At 54.1% G+C, this 14,359-nt stretch overlaps 1 protein-coding gene across 1 annotated transcript; it reads left to right on the top strand.

The window, feature by feature from the left end:
• Positions 1-13,272: 13,272 nt before the first annotated feature.
• Positions 13,273-14,146, top strand: CALML5 (calmodulin like 5). The gene has a single exon (NM_017422.5). It carries the CDS (start codon positions 13,405-13,407, stop codon positions 13,843-13,845), a length of 441 nt encoding a protein of 146 aa, NP_059118.2. The 5' UTR covers positions 13,273-13,404; the 3' UTR covers positions 13,846-14,146.
• Positions 14,147-14,359: the final 213 nt, after the last annotated feature.

Raw genomic sequence — 14,359 nt, 5'->3', positions numbered from 1 at the left:
TAAGATGACTTCCATGGGGCCCCACGCCTCATGACCCCGTCTCACCCCCTGCAAATACCATCCCATGGAGAGGCAGGACTTGAGCCTATGAATTTGAGGGGTACACGGTTCAGTCCAAACCTTTTGGTGTTTCTGTGTATCCATTTCTGCATGTGTAAAATGAGGAGAACAGACAGCTTCCGACCTCATCTCCAAAGGCGCACGGAGGAGGTGGAAAGGCCCTCGCCGGAGACTGAGCACTGCAGCCAGCGCAAGGCCGGATTTGCTGCTTCCGCGCGGGGACGCCCTCGGAAAGGTGGCAGGTGCCCACGGCGAGGAAGGGGCGGGAGTGAGGGGTGCGTGGCCCGAGAGAACTCAGTGAAGAAGGCCATTAGGGAGGAAATAAGGGAAACGGGGTGTGCGAAGCTCTGAGCTTTTTCTGCCCGGTTTGGCTGAGGACACGCCACGGGTGAGCATCTGCGCGAGGGGAGCTTGGTGGGTGAGGAAGGAAGAAGACACGATAGAGAACTGGAAGCAAGAAGGGAGGAAACCAAAAGGAACGGGGAGGAGAAAGGGCTTCTCTGGAGCTGCTTGCTTTTCCCAGATTCTCCTGCCATTCCTGGCTCCAGGGAGTCCTGAAGGAACGATGGTTAGGGCGGAGAATCCTGCAGAGGAAAGGAGAGAAAGGACTAGAGGTCACACACGGCTTCTTGGAGGGGAGCGGGGAGCAGGGGCTCCGAGGCTGCGGGTCGCAGGCTCCAGGGCAGGAAGCTCTCCATGGGAACCGTAGTATGAATTCCACCGAGGTGCGTCCCGGCACAGACCCGAAGGCAGCCACATTTGTGGAAATAAGATTTGACGTGCATTTCGGATCCGCAGAGAAGGTGGACTCTGTTTTGCAGAATGGACCAGCGGTGGGGGGTGGGGTGGGGGGCAGGAAAAGACTTTAAACGCTGGCAGAACTTTGTATTCCACTCATTCGTGCATGCATTCATTCAGCCATCCTTTCGCTATCATTCATCAAACTAGCGCGCACTGAGGCCACTTTGTGTCAGCGCAGCGCCTGGCCTGAGGACCTCAGGGTGGTGTCGGCAAAGTTCCGCTGCCAAGGAGTTCACGGGCCGTGTTTCCTGCCAGGCCGCAGACACTCTCTGCGTGGAGCCCGAGGAGGTTCTGTGTGAGATCTCACCCTGCGGGAAGAAAGAGGCGGAGGCTCGGGGTTGGTCCAATCACACCCCTGATGGTGAGAGACGGGCGGGCGGGGCCTGACGCCCACTCCCAGCTGGATGCCTGTCTCCCACCCCGCGTGTCCTTTCCCAGACCCCAAAGCTTCCTGCCTGGTCTCAGTTCTTCGGAGAAGAGGGATTAGAAGCTGGAACAGGTATTTCTGCTAATGGGGCGTGGCAGATCGGCATTTGCGGGGGCTCTGTCACCCCGTAAGATGTCCCAGCAGGAAGCGTGGCGGGTCTCCACTGAGAGCTCCACGGAGCAGCTTTGGCTCCCTGAGAAGTCGAGGTGTGAGCAGTAGCGGCCTTCCCTTTGCAGAGAGAAGGCTTGGGGAGAGAAGACCCTGGTGCCATCTTCATAGGAGGTGGAAAGGAAACTGTATGACAGGAGAATGAATCAGGTTTGGGGCTCAAGGTGCCGGCCACTGGGAAAAACAGCTGCCCCGAGTTGCAAAACTCTGGGTCCTATATGTATAAACTATGCCCTGAGGAAGGAATCTCAGGCGTATCTTAGGAGAAAATGTTCTAGCTTGGGAAACAAACACAACAGGACCGTGAATCCAAATATTTCAAGTGGGTTTAGAGGACTGGAGTTCTAAACGCTGCTTTTACTGTAAGTGATCACGCCCCGGAATGTGCTGAAGAAAGGAAAATGAGCCAGTATCGGCGAGGACTATGGGCAAGGAAAACGAGAGTGTGCGATGTGTCAAAGCAAGACATCTGTGTATAGTAATATAATCAAGTAATAGATAGTCATAGAATCAAGCTGATGTATTTGGCAGGGGCCGCGGGAGGATGAGGCAACTCCCATCAGATTAGAAAGATGTTAACACTGTAACAAAAGTGGGGCTCGAGGAAGGGGAAAAGCGCAGCTCTCTTTTTAAGACGCCAGAAAGTAGTCAGACATGCTAAGAACAAAACAAACACAAACGAAAACCAGCAAAGAAAGCTCTTCGAGAAGAGTAAGGCTACTGATCTTTAGGAATCAAATCATTATTTCCACACATGTCATGAAGAACACAGACATTAAAGCACAAAGGAGAAACTTAAATGAAAGTAGGAGGGAGAAGTCAAAGCTCAAGTAAAGAGATTTTTAACCTAGAGAGGCTGAGTTATCAAGGAAGAAAGAAGGCCAAGCCAGCTTGTTGCAGAATGTTCCAGAAGATAAGATAATGATAGACTTAAATAAATAGGGACTGATCAAGGTGATAGCGAGTTCTTGGTGAAATTGCTTCCAAGGATTTTATAGAAGTGTATTTCATGGAAATGTACAGTAACCGGATGACTGTATTAAAATTTTAAAACTGCTGGGTGTGGTGGCTCATGCATATAATTCCAACACTTTGGGAGGCCAAGGCGGGTGGATCACATGAGGCCAGGAGTTCGAGACCAGCCTGACCAACATGGTAAAACCCTGTCTCTATTAAAAATACAAAAATTAGCAGGGTGTGGTGGTGTGTGCCTGTAATCCCAGCTACCTGGGAGGCTGAGGCAGGAGAATCACCTGAACCTGAGAGGTTGCAGTGAGCCAAGATTGCGCCACTGCACTCCAGTCTGACTCCGTCTCAAATAAAACAAAATAAAATAAAAATCTAAAACTGACTTAGGCAGTTAAGTGTGTTTCCAAAGAACGTAATTGGTGGGAGGCAGAGCGGGCCCGAATTGCCACCTCTTCCCGGCACGGCCAGTGCTCTTCCTCCCACTCCCGGCCACCTCCGCAGGCCCCTGCCCGTGCCAGGACTGGGTGAAGCTGTGAATGTGCTTCTCCACTTGGGGGTGCGGGACAATGCTGGGGCCCTGGGCTGGGTTTCTGCCCTAGGAAGCCTCACTGTTGAGTCAGGGGCTGCTGGAGCTGAGTTTTGTCTTCAGTGGCTTATGAAGGAAAGATGAAGCTATCAGATAATGAGCAGACGCTATGGTGCCCTGGATAAGAGCCTGGGTTCTGGCATCAGGCAAACCTAGATTCGCATTTCCACCTCTTTGATGAACTGGTTTTGTGACCTCACTAAGCCTCAATTGCTTCATCTGCTTACTCTTATTTTAATAAGAATAAAAGGAGAGGAAGAATGAGGTCATGCATCAAAGCCCTCAGCACAGCGCCTGGCACATAGAAAGGGCAGGTGCACATCGCCTGTCCTCCTCAGGTAACCGGGGCAGCGGTGGCTTCGATGTGGTTCTGCCCAGTTTGGGCACCGAGGTGTGGCCGGGCTGCAGTGGATGTTTGAGTAAAGGATAAAGCTGGTGGCAGCTGACTTTACTGAGCCCTGGTGCAGGGGGTTCTCGGAAATCCCACCGCAGAGGGTGGCATGAACCCCAGGGCTGGGGTACATACAGCACAGAGTTGTTCTGTATCTAGGGAACTTGAGGACTTCACATCAGCATCCCACCCTCATGAACTAGTTATGAACTAGTGACTTCTTGTGAACTGGCGGAAGCCAACTTGAAGCTCCAGAACAGGGAAGAGCAACTTCCTGAAAGAAGGAAGCAGGAAGGAGAAACAGCTCGGTGCTAGGAAAGCCATGGTTGACTGAACCCATTGTGGGAAGGAGAGGGAAGGCAAGCTACAGTGGTGCAGAAAGGGCTGTGGGCATCTTATGCCAAGGGAGGAGGAAGGAGGAGACACGGCCAGCCAGGTCCAGGATGTCCCAGCCTCTGGGCCAGCAGAAACGCCAACGCTTCTTAAATGTCACCCAGTTGAGAAGAAGGGGGTGTGGGAGCAGAGCCTGTCATAGAAAAGAACAAAAAGAGTGAAACCGGAGTTGGGGTGAGTGGCGGAGGACATCTGGGTTCATAAGAAAGTGGGATGTAGCAGCTGGGGAAGATGTAGTGCTGGAAAAGAACAGCAAATGTGTATCTTTTACAATTAAACCTCCACCCAAGAGCCGGGGGATCCAAGAAAAGACCTGAAAACATATCTGTGGAAAAGGCGTAGAGTTCTTCGAAGTGGGGTTTTAAAGACAGCCAAGTCCAGTGGGGATGGACCCTGGGTAATGGTCAGGCGCGGGCAGAGAAAGAGGGGCCCAAGGAGCTGTCGACCCCTGGTTGCGATCAGGAGCTGAACGTGCCCGAGGAAGGGCCTGGACCCAGGGCAGCCGGTGAGGGACGAACACCACGTGAGTCCGGGGCCTGCGGGTGAGGGACGAACACCACGTGAGTCTCGGGCCTGTATTTTGATTCCAGCGTCCCTTTCCGAGGGGCAGCTCCTTCTTTTCATTCCTTGGCTTCCCAGTCTCTGAAATGGGGTTAACCATGACGGCTGCCCTGGGCCTGGCTGCAGGCCTGGGAGGAAAGTCTTGTTCATGAGTGTCTGGTGAGCACGTCCACGTCAGCCGAGGGCATGTTTACCTGGAAGCACATTCCTTCTCCTCAACCCACTCACTGCACAGTCAGAAAATCCCAGGACCAAAGAAAGGGCTGAAGGTTTTCACAGGCCACTGGCACTGAGCTCTGGGCAAATGTAGAAATTGAGCCGAGAGGAGGAGCAGGACTGGGTCTCCTGCCTGGAAGCCCTGGTTTGCCCTGCTGCACTTTCCCTGCTTCTAAGCCCAGAGCCCAGCAACTGCTGATCAGTCCACGTGCATTGGACCCTGCGAGGCTGGGCCTCCAGTCCAGGTGCATTGGACCTTGCGAGGCTGGGCCTTGGGTGAAGGGTGGCTTTGCCAGGGGCACTGTGAGGTTACTCGGTCAGTGCGCCTGACCCCTCAAAGTGTTGTCTGTGACCAGCCCCGACCAATTCAAGGGTGGCAGGGAGAACACCCCTGCATTGCGGCTGGACTTCAGCCCAGCAGGTAGGGGAGGCGACAGGTACACAGACATCCCCCCGGGAGGTTGGGGCAAAGTGCTGCGGGTGCAGGAGGGCAGTTGTGGCCCGCGGGAGGGCAGAGCTGCTTTAGGGGGCTGCTTGCATCTGGATGGCCTGAGAAGGGTGCGGTAAGGGGGTCCTGGGAGGAGAGGATGCAGCGTGGGGAGGCCCAGAGAGGGAGGCTGGGTGGGACGGCAGCAGGGTGGTTTTGGGAGCGGGATCTTCCTGCCCTCAGTCCCCCTGGCCATTGCAGGCTTCACTTCCACCAGTGGCCTCTTGTGGGACCCAAATTCATTTCCACTATAGACACGGGGCCAGACTTGCTGGTAACCCAGGTTCCTGTCTCTGGGCTCCCCTCCAAGAAGCCTGCAAGGGCAGGGCACCCCTGTCCTTTTCTCCCCCTTCCTTCTCTGGGGCAGCCATGCTCTCCTCCCAGGACGCAGCCCCACCCAGGGCACCCTGCAGCTAAGCTTGATGCCTGGACCTGCTCTGGCCTGGAGGGGACACACATCAATCCCTGCAGATGGGTTGGCTCCCACAGAACAGGTTTCCCTTGGAAAGAGCTCCTGAGAGGCGGGGAGCGGCCAACCCTCCCCTGGAACTACACTGAGGACCCTCCTGTCGAGGGGACTGAGCCTGTGGGGTCAGCAGGAGTGGAGCATAGGCACTGGGCTGCTGTCGGGCCAGAGGGAGGAGGCGGCTCTCCCAGGCTCACTGCTCTGCTGAGTCAAAGCCAGTGCCCTTCCTGTCTCTGCCAGGCCCATGTGTCCAATGGCAAGTGCAGAGGAGAGCAAGTGCCGGGGGGAGAGCACACCGTCTGGCAAGCCCTGTCCTCCACAGACGGCCCTATGGTCCTGCATGGCACCTGCCTCCTTTTCTCTCTGACCACAAACCCACATCTCTCTTGCTTTCCTGGCCCATGTCGGACCCCAGGGCTGTCGTCTCCTTGCTTGGCACTGTGACCCCAGAGCCATCGTCTCCTTGCTTGGCACCATCCGGGTATGAAGAGGCACGGCACGGAGGTGTTGCTTCCTGAAAGCCTCTGAGTGGCCACCAACTTACTGGACGGGCCACTGACCAGGCACCCGCAGCTCCTGGTGGGAGGTGGGGTCTCAAGAGGGTGGAACTCACAATGTGGGGGAAGACTGGTCCCTCGCCTTTGTAGGGTGCCTTGCAGGCTACAGGCACTTTCCCATTTGCTTCTTACAGCAGCCCCATAGCAGGAAGAGGTAGGGATTCCTAACCTCCTGTACAGTGGATGCAACCAGAGCTCCTAAGCCGAGGGCCTTCTTGTCTCCAGCTCTCCCTGGGATGGGCCCTACTCGGGAGCCTGAGGTGGGAGGATTGTTGGAGCCTGGGAGGCACAGGTTGCAGTGAGCCAAGATTGTGCCACTGCACTCCAGCTGGGGTGACAGAGCAAGACACTGTATCAAAAAAAAAAAAAAGGAAAAATAAAAATAAATAGGAAATACTTAACAAAACAAAGATCCTTTACAAATGTTTTATCCAGTTTCTCATACACACATACACACAAACACACACAATGGCCATATCATTCAGCCTTTTTCATCTTTTCACCCCCTTTTCTGCGTATTGGTATATCTGCAACCCATATTAATATCCTAGATTTTTGTTTATAGATGTATAATCCTGTTATTAGTTGTAATACATGACACATTGCCAGATTACTTAGAACAAAGCTGTCACATTTGACCTTTTCACCGGCAATGTGGAATGATAAAAATTTCTTCACATCTTCTCTAGCAGTAGGTATTTTAATGAATTCAATGTTTGCCAGCTAGATTGGGCATGAAATGACGCCTCATTATTATTTTAATTTGTACTTCCTCCTCTACGGCTGAATTTATCATCTTTACTGTTTGTTGGCCATTTGAATTTGCTCTCCTGTGAACTGGCTACTTACATCCTTGGCTTATTTTTCTATTGTTTTTGTTGTAGTTTTAACAATTTTAGAGCTCTTTATATATAAAATCATTTGTATAATTTTCATTTCCTCCAAGATCTATCATTTTGCTTTATCTAGATATAGTCTTTTTTTGCTGCTCACACAGAAGTTTTTATCTTTTTTATAGGTAGTCAAATACATCTACCTTTTCTTTGAGAACTTCTGGGTTTCCAGGATTATTTAAATAGATTTCCCTCTCGCCTCTCACTTTGCACATCCATCTACTTGCATTTAGTTGTTTGGGTCTAAACTTCCCCAAAGGGTTTTTGTACATATGTGTTATAGCAATGAACAGGATCATGATAATCCCTGATCCTGTCCAGTGTTCAGGCTCACGGCCATCTTCACGCTTCAAAATATGGTCCTGAATCCTGAAATACATCGGCAGTCCGGAGCACCACCCTCAGAACCACTGCTCTATTACTGATTTTAGACGAAAGCTGCTGATATTTTTTCCTGACAACTGAGTTATGCCTTAAGTTCTGCCAAAACTAGCTGTGAAATGAAGAGGAGCTCAGAACATACTGAGAAGACCCATGGGAGAGGGAGAGGGGCCGCCTACCCCACGACGGCAGGTGGGAAGGTCCACCTGGGAAATCACCACGAACCAGGACCGTCTCACGCATGGCAGACCCCACACAAACCTCTGCGCAGTGAATGGAGGGTCCTAATGTATCATTTTAAACCACTGGGATTATGCTCCATCTAATTTGTTTAAAATGATGGGGAACAAAACATGTAATCCACCTTAGATTTCCATCCAATACGGTCCGAGTTGAAATGTTTCAGTTCTTGGATAAGTACCTCTCTCAAGACACTTCTCCAGGAGGTGCTGGATAATCAGGGATGGGAGATGGGGACCGATAAACAGGCTCCGGGTCTGGGACACAGAGCCAGGTGTGTCCTGCCAGGTTCCCAGGTGTGTCATTGATGGGTAAGAGTCTGGGGGAGGACCGCTTTTGCCAACTAGCCCAGCAAGTCTAGACAGATTGTGGGCACTGGGTAAATAGCAACCCACACCAGCCCCAGAGCCTCTCCTCACCCGAGAACGCACAAGCATCCTCTCCAGGAGAGGGAGTCGGGGGGCCTCTGCCCTTTGTCCAGGGAACCCCCTGGCGTGACTTCAGGTTGTTGTCGCCCAAGAATCACACCATTGATTGGACAGGAATCTAGACTGGAACAGAGCTCTCCACCTTCCGAGTCCTCACCCTGTGATGGTTTCCTGTAGAATTATAAGCCTCTGTCAAGCGTGTTCCACACACGTGGAGCACGTGGGGGACCCCAGGAGTGCAGTGGACAGCAAGGTCGATGCTGTCCATGGCATCAGTGAAATCAGGCATTTCTTTACTCAGCTGAAGCCCTGAGAACTTAGAATTGCCACCCAGGTCTGCAGTGAGGATACTTCTGCTTTGCCCAGGAAGCAGCCTGGCATGTCACCCAGCAGAGAGCTGGCGCAGGCAGGGGGTGCAGGAGCTAGCAGGGGCTCTGCCTACTGAGTGCTTGCTCTCACCAGGTGCTGGGCGGAGGCTTTCCTGCAGGGCTTTGCCCCTCTCAAGTCTCCTATAAGGCAGGTGCTAGTACCATATTCTTCACCAGAGAGGCATGCAGCGTTTAGGGGTGAAACAGCTCACCCAGGCCACACAGGGAGCAAAGTGCAGAAGCCAGGAGCTCACCCCCAGTGATCTTACCACACGCTGTTGGGAAGACGTTGTGTGGTGTGTAGGGAAGGTGTGTGGTGTGTAGGGGAGGTGCGTGGTGTGTAGGGGAGGTGCGTGGTGTGTAGGGGAGGAAGGTGTGTGGTGTGTAGGGGAGGAAGGTGCGCGGTGTGCAGGGGAGGTGTGTGGTGTGTAGGGGAGGTGTGTGGTGTGTAGGGGAGGTGCGCGGTGTGCAGGGGAGGTGTGTGGTGTGTAGGGGAGGTGTGTGGTGTGCAGGGAAGGTGGATAGTGTCTAGGAGTACCCAGGAAAGGGGGCTCGGAGCCAGCTGCCTGTGCAACCAGCACAATCGCTCATCATTTCTATTTCTCATTGCTGAGGATAATCGCAAGGGAGATGAGCTCTGTGAAGCTGGGTCCCCCGTGTTCTCTTCCACAGATCACACCCTCCACACAGGCCCTTCTCATTTCCCTGGGGCTGCCCTGTCCTCAGAGAAGGTCAGGGCTGTGCCAACACTGCAGAGACAGCACAGGTGCCAGGTGAGATCAGTTTCTGCAAACACAGAAGTGTGAGGAGTTTCTGTGCTGGTTGAGGCTCCAAGGCCTGTTTGACTGGTTTCTCCACTCTGAGGAGCCAAAGTGTAGTGGAAGTGCCAGAGTGTGTTTTTGTTCCCGGGGTGAGTCTGGTGTGAAAGCTAGAGCTGGCCTTGCCTGAACAGGACAGCCACCCTACACCCTGCATATCTTCTCCCAACACACACACACATACATGCATGCACACTTGCACACACATGCAAACTTGTGCTCACATGCACACACAAACTCAAACCCACACACACATACATGCATGCACACTTGCACACACATGCAAACTTGTGCTCACATGCACACACAAACTCAAACCCACACACACATGCACACACAAATAGACATATACATACACACACAAAAACACATGTGCACACAGCTAATGCACAAGGCAGTCCCATGACTGATGATAACTCTCCCCTTCCTGCCTCTGGGGACCTGTCCAGCCACCTTGGAGAGGTTTTCATCCTTTCTATAGCAAGTTGCAGACGTCTTCAGTCCTCCTCAATGAAGGAGACTCCCTTTCTCCTCCAGGGTGGCAGGGAGAGTTGGCGTCTCCATGAGGGGCTCAGCTGACAGGCGCGGGAGAGGGGAGGAGAGCCCACCTCCAGCACTCAATCACAAAGCTGCCATCTCCCTGCAAACCCCCCCACTTCCCTCTTCTGTGCTGATCACGACCTTCTCTTTCTCACCTGGTCCCTGGATCCTTCTCTGCAAACTTCAGCCTGTCCCTCTGCTGCAGTTCTTCCCAGCCTTCTGCACCTCCCTTAGGCCCCTCGCACACAGCTCCGGGGGCAGCCACCACATTAGGGCTAGCTGGGGTATCTTCCTTCCTCTCACTTCCCTGCTGGGTTTGCTTCGCACATGGCCCCTGGGTCGGGGGAGCTCAGCTGTGGGATGTGGAGCCAGCGGCTGGGCACCCCAGCTTCAGGCTCCTTATGGAGTGGAGGACGGGTGATGCCCTTGGCCCCTGCATCACACAGGGATACACGCAGAAGGCGTCGCCTGAGAATGCACCTTAGCTAGAAAGAAGGGTTTCTCCCTCCTCAAAGCCAGGCTCTGCACCCAACTGCCGTGCTAAACCAGCCAAGGCAGAGGGGCTTGACCAAGCTTGCCTAGATTTGACAACAAATGCCATCTTGTCCCTCTTCGGGAGCCCCCATTTGGGCTGTGCCAGGCCGTCTGTGGTGCGGGTCACTCAGGCATGGCCGTCCTTGGTGTCCCTAGTGCTGAACCCAGAGGAGGGGAGTGGAAACTTCACCCACAGAGGCTGAGCCAAGGCAGCTGACGGCTTGCATACTTGCAAGCCACTTGTGGTGGGAGGCTGAGGGGAGGATGAAAAAAACAATCTCAGTGCTTGTACATGCCCTGAAAAGAGAATGTGTTAGGGAGGAAATGACCCCGGATGGGGAAACACGCAGCGGGAAGTCAGGGGACTTTCCCTATGGACACGGCCTCTCTCCATCTAGAAAACGCACATCGTGAGAATAGTGACCATCATCCTGTCTCGTGATGAGACAGCCTGAGGCTTTTTCTAAATAGGTGCTTCTGCTCTGCATGGAACTGCCTCTGTCTGGAGCTGACACTGAAAAGTCAGCTAATGCTCTGAGCCTTGGCATGTTGGACTTAACTAAACCTCGAGGTGGACGCATTTAATTTTTCCGTTCAATCAAAAGAGGTATAATCACAAAATTGTGAGATTCCCCTTCAAGTAGATGTTTTCCCGAGTGTTGGTTTACATCAAACATGAATCAGCTCGTTATTAACATGAGGTTTATCATAGAATAATAACACCTGCTGCTGGCTCTGTACTTAATATTCTGATCCTACACGCTCCGATCAGATATGGTGGGTGCATCATCCTAGTTTATAGATGTGGATATTGAGACACACGTTTCCACATCACTGACAAAACTGGAACCGGGAGCTCAAGTCTCCTAATATTGTTTGCAAAGTAGTATTTAATACCTGGGGAAAATGACATGAAATAATTATTAAGCCTTTGGATTTTAATCACAGGTCCCATCAACAAGATCAGAAGGAAAGGAAATTTCAACTATAGATTTAAATCTTCAGGTATTCTTTAAGGAAATAAAACAAGGAGCTGGGCTGAATCCAGCTATTCAGAGTCCCGCCCTCCCTGGGCCCCTCACCAGGCAGGATGCTTCTCTGTTCTCATCTCCTGGCCAGAACCACGTTCTCCACCCCAAACCGGTTGTCAATTTCATTGAGAAATTGGTTGCTCAATATTTATTGAGGCCTCTGTATTATTCCACCACTGAGGTGAGCTAGAAAATCTTCAAGCTATCTTTATAAAATGAGTTAGACAACTGGGACACTGCTCTCTGCATCTCTCTGTCTATGCTGGGTCCCCCTGAACTCCGGTGGGGTGACCCCCTTCCTTCCCTCTCCCTGCTGACCATGACCTTCCCTTTTGTACCTGGTCCACGGAGCTCCCTCTCTGCAGACCTCAGCCTCTCCCTCTGCTGTGGTGCTTCCGAGCCCTTTGCACCTCCCTCTGGCCCCTCACATGCAGCTCAGGGAGCAGCTGCCACACTAGGGCTGGCTGGGGCATCTTCCCTCCTCTCACTGCTCTGCCTGGTTTGCCCCTTGTGTGGTCCTGGGGGACTGAGCTGTGGGTCATGGAGTGCGTGGTTGGGCACCCCAGCCTCCGGCTTCCCTTGGAGAATGTGTGCAGCACCAAGGGGCTGGGAGGTGTTTGTCTGGCTGCACTTTAGGGAAGGAGAGGGCACTTGGTCTATTTGATGGGCTGAACAGGAGGGAGGTGGAATGTATAAACTTTCCCAGGGGAATAAAGGAGTTTGTTCCCTGTGTACGGGCAGGGGCTGGGGAGAAGAATGGGAATCTATGGAGATCAGAGGGGACTTGCTTGGGAAAGGCATTTTGGGGACTCCAAGGCAAATGTCCCCTCACAACTGTAGATCACATCAGTGGAAGGACTTGGGGATGGTCCCCCGAAAGCTTAGCTGTTGCTCTAAAAGTTGGTCAAGGCAAGTGGCCCTGGGGGTTTCCTTCCAGAGAACAGATCAGATTGAGGACCCCAGTAGGCTCCCAGATGGGTCTCTGTGCTTAGGGCTGATGCTTAGTAAAACCACAAGGAGGGCCAAGTTTGATGGCAGCCACCTGTTCTGCATCCTCCTGCACCTCTGCCTGCACCTTTGGGGTATGCTGGGCACTGAGGTCCCCCGTGTCTCGCTGCAGCAAAACTCCAGCTGTAACTGTTTGACGCCCTGTGAATGGAACGCCTGCCACTGAGCTCCCAGGGTGTCTGCACAGGGAACCTTGGACTTGGCGATGGAATTGAATTGTAGGAATCCCTGAGCTAGAAGGGAGTATTCTGGGGAGACAAAAAGTCTTTCCCTCTCCTCTGAAACTGCACGTCACATGTTCACTTGATAAACACCATCTCAGCACCAGCTATGGCTCTGAAGGCAGCCCTGGTCCCTTGCTTCCTTGAAGTTATAGGCAGTGAGCCCCATCCTCTGTCTCTAGACCCTGGCCTGGGAATCTCATGATACCCACAGTTGTGCCCTGGCAGAATCAACACTACCACCCACTTCCCTTCCACCAGCCCCAGCCTCAGGGCAAGAGCTAGGCAGTAGCACTGGAGAGAGGGGTACGGAAACACCAAACACTGGGGCCTGCTGTGCCCTTGAGGGAGCCCTCTTCAAGCCACCTCCCCCTCCAGTCTCAGTCTTTGTGAAGTTGCAGAAGCTGTCTTGAACCCCTTGGCTTGGTCAGGATCTCCGAGAATCAGCTGCAGGGGAAACTATCCCTTGGGCAGAATGTTCCTGGAGGGAGGTGGTTGCTATCAAGGCCAGGCGGGGTTGGCAGGCTAGCCATCCGATACCCCGACCCCATGGCAGTTCCCACCTGGCACCTGACAGCTCTCCCAACTCCCATTCCTGCATTTCCTGTCTGCAGCTGATCTGGCCCTCCCTGGGAGGAGGCTCTCACCCCAGGGCATTTGGAGGGTGGGGAGCCTCCCTCCTCCCTTTGTTCCGATTGCAGAAAAGGAGGGGGTTCCCATGCCAAGGCAGAACTGTCTGGGACAGACGCTGCCCGGATCCCTGCGGCTGCCTGCACTCTGGACCACGAGCTCTGAGAGCAGCAGGTTGAGGGCCGGTGGGCAGCAGCTCGGAGGCTCCGCGAGGTGCAGGAGACGCAGGCATGGCCGGTGAGCTGACTCCTGAGGAGGAGGCCCAGTACAAAAAGGCTTTCTCCGCGGTTGACACGGATGGAAACGGCACCATCAATGCCCAGGAGCTGGGCGCGGCGCTGAAGGCCACGGGCAAGAACCTCTCGGAGGCCCAGCTAAGGAAACTCATCTCCGAGGTTGACAGCGACGGCGACGGCGAAATCAGCTTCCAGGAGTTCCTGACGGCGGCGAAGAAGGCCAGGGCCGGCCTGGAGGACCTGCAGGTCGCCTTCCGCGCCTTCGACCAGGATGGCGACGGCCACATCACCGTGGACGAGCTCAGGCGGGCCATGGCGGGGCTGGGGCAGCCGCTGCCGCAGGAGGAGCTGGACGCCATGATCCGCGAGGCCGACGTGGACCAGGACGGGCGGGTGAACTACGAGGAGTTCGCGAGGATGCTCGCCCAGGAGTGAGGCTCCCCGCCTGTGTCCCCCTGGCTGCGCTCTGAGCCTTCAGGGCCACCGCCCGCTGCTGCTTTTGTGCTGGGACTCTCCGGGGAAACCTGGTCGGTGGATGGGAAACTGCCTCCCCCTGGGAGGAAGGCTTTGCGCTCCGGGGCCTGGATGCGGCGCCCTCGGGCCGCCTGCGAGCCCCTCTCTGCCTCCAGACCTTGGGCAGAAGGAGGCCTCCTTGGGCCTGGTCCCCCTTTGCCCTGCAGTGGAATGAGGGCCCCTCAGCCCCGCATTGATCTAAATAAAGGACTGCCGAGTTCCATGTGTGCTTGGTGTTTGTGGGGCGGCTGCCTCCGAGGGCCCCCACCTGCTTCCAGGGTTCCTTCCAGCCCACCCCTCTCACCTGCGGTGGCAGAACTGCCTGGAGCAGGCCCCAGGGGCAGCTCCTGCCTCCCCTGACGCGGAGCAGAGGGCAGGTGGGCAGAGGATGTGTGAGGATGGTGCTGGGCGGTGTCTGTGGCTCCAGGTTCTGCCT

Source organism: Homo sapiens, chromosome 10 (genome assembly GCF_000001405.40).
Source record: "Homo sapiens chromosome 10, GRCh38.p14 Primary Assembly".
NCBI classification, from domain to species: domain Eukaryota; kingdom Metazoa; phylum Chordata; class Mammalia; order Primates; family Hominidae; genus Homo; species Homo sapiens.
The sequence above is the reverse complement of the archived record's forward strand: the minus strand, read 5'-3'. Positions and strand labels throughout refer to the sequence as shown.

Excerpts from the sequence above, each read along its gene's own strand:
- CALML5 (NM_017422.5), top strand. The coding sequence starts at position 13,405 with ATGGCCGGTGAGCTGACTCCTGAGGAGGAGGCCCAGTACAAAAAGGCT.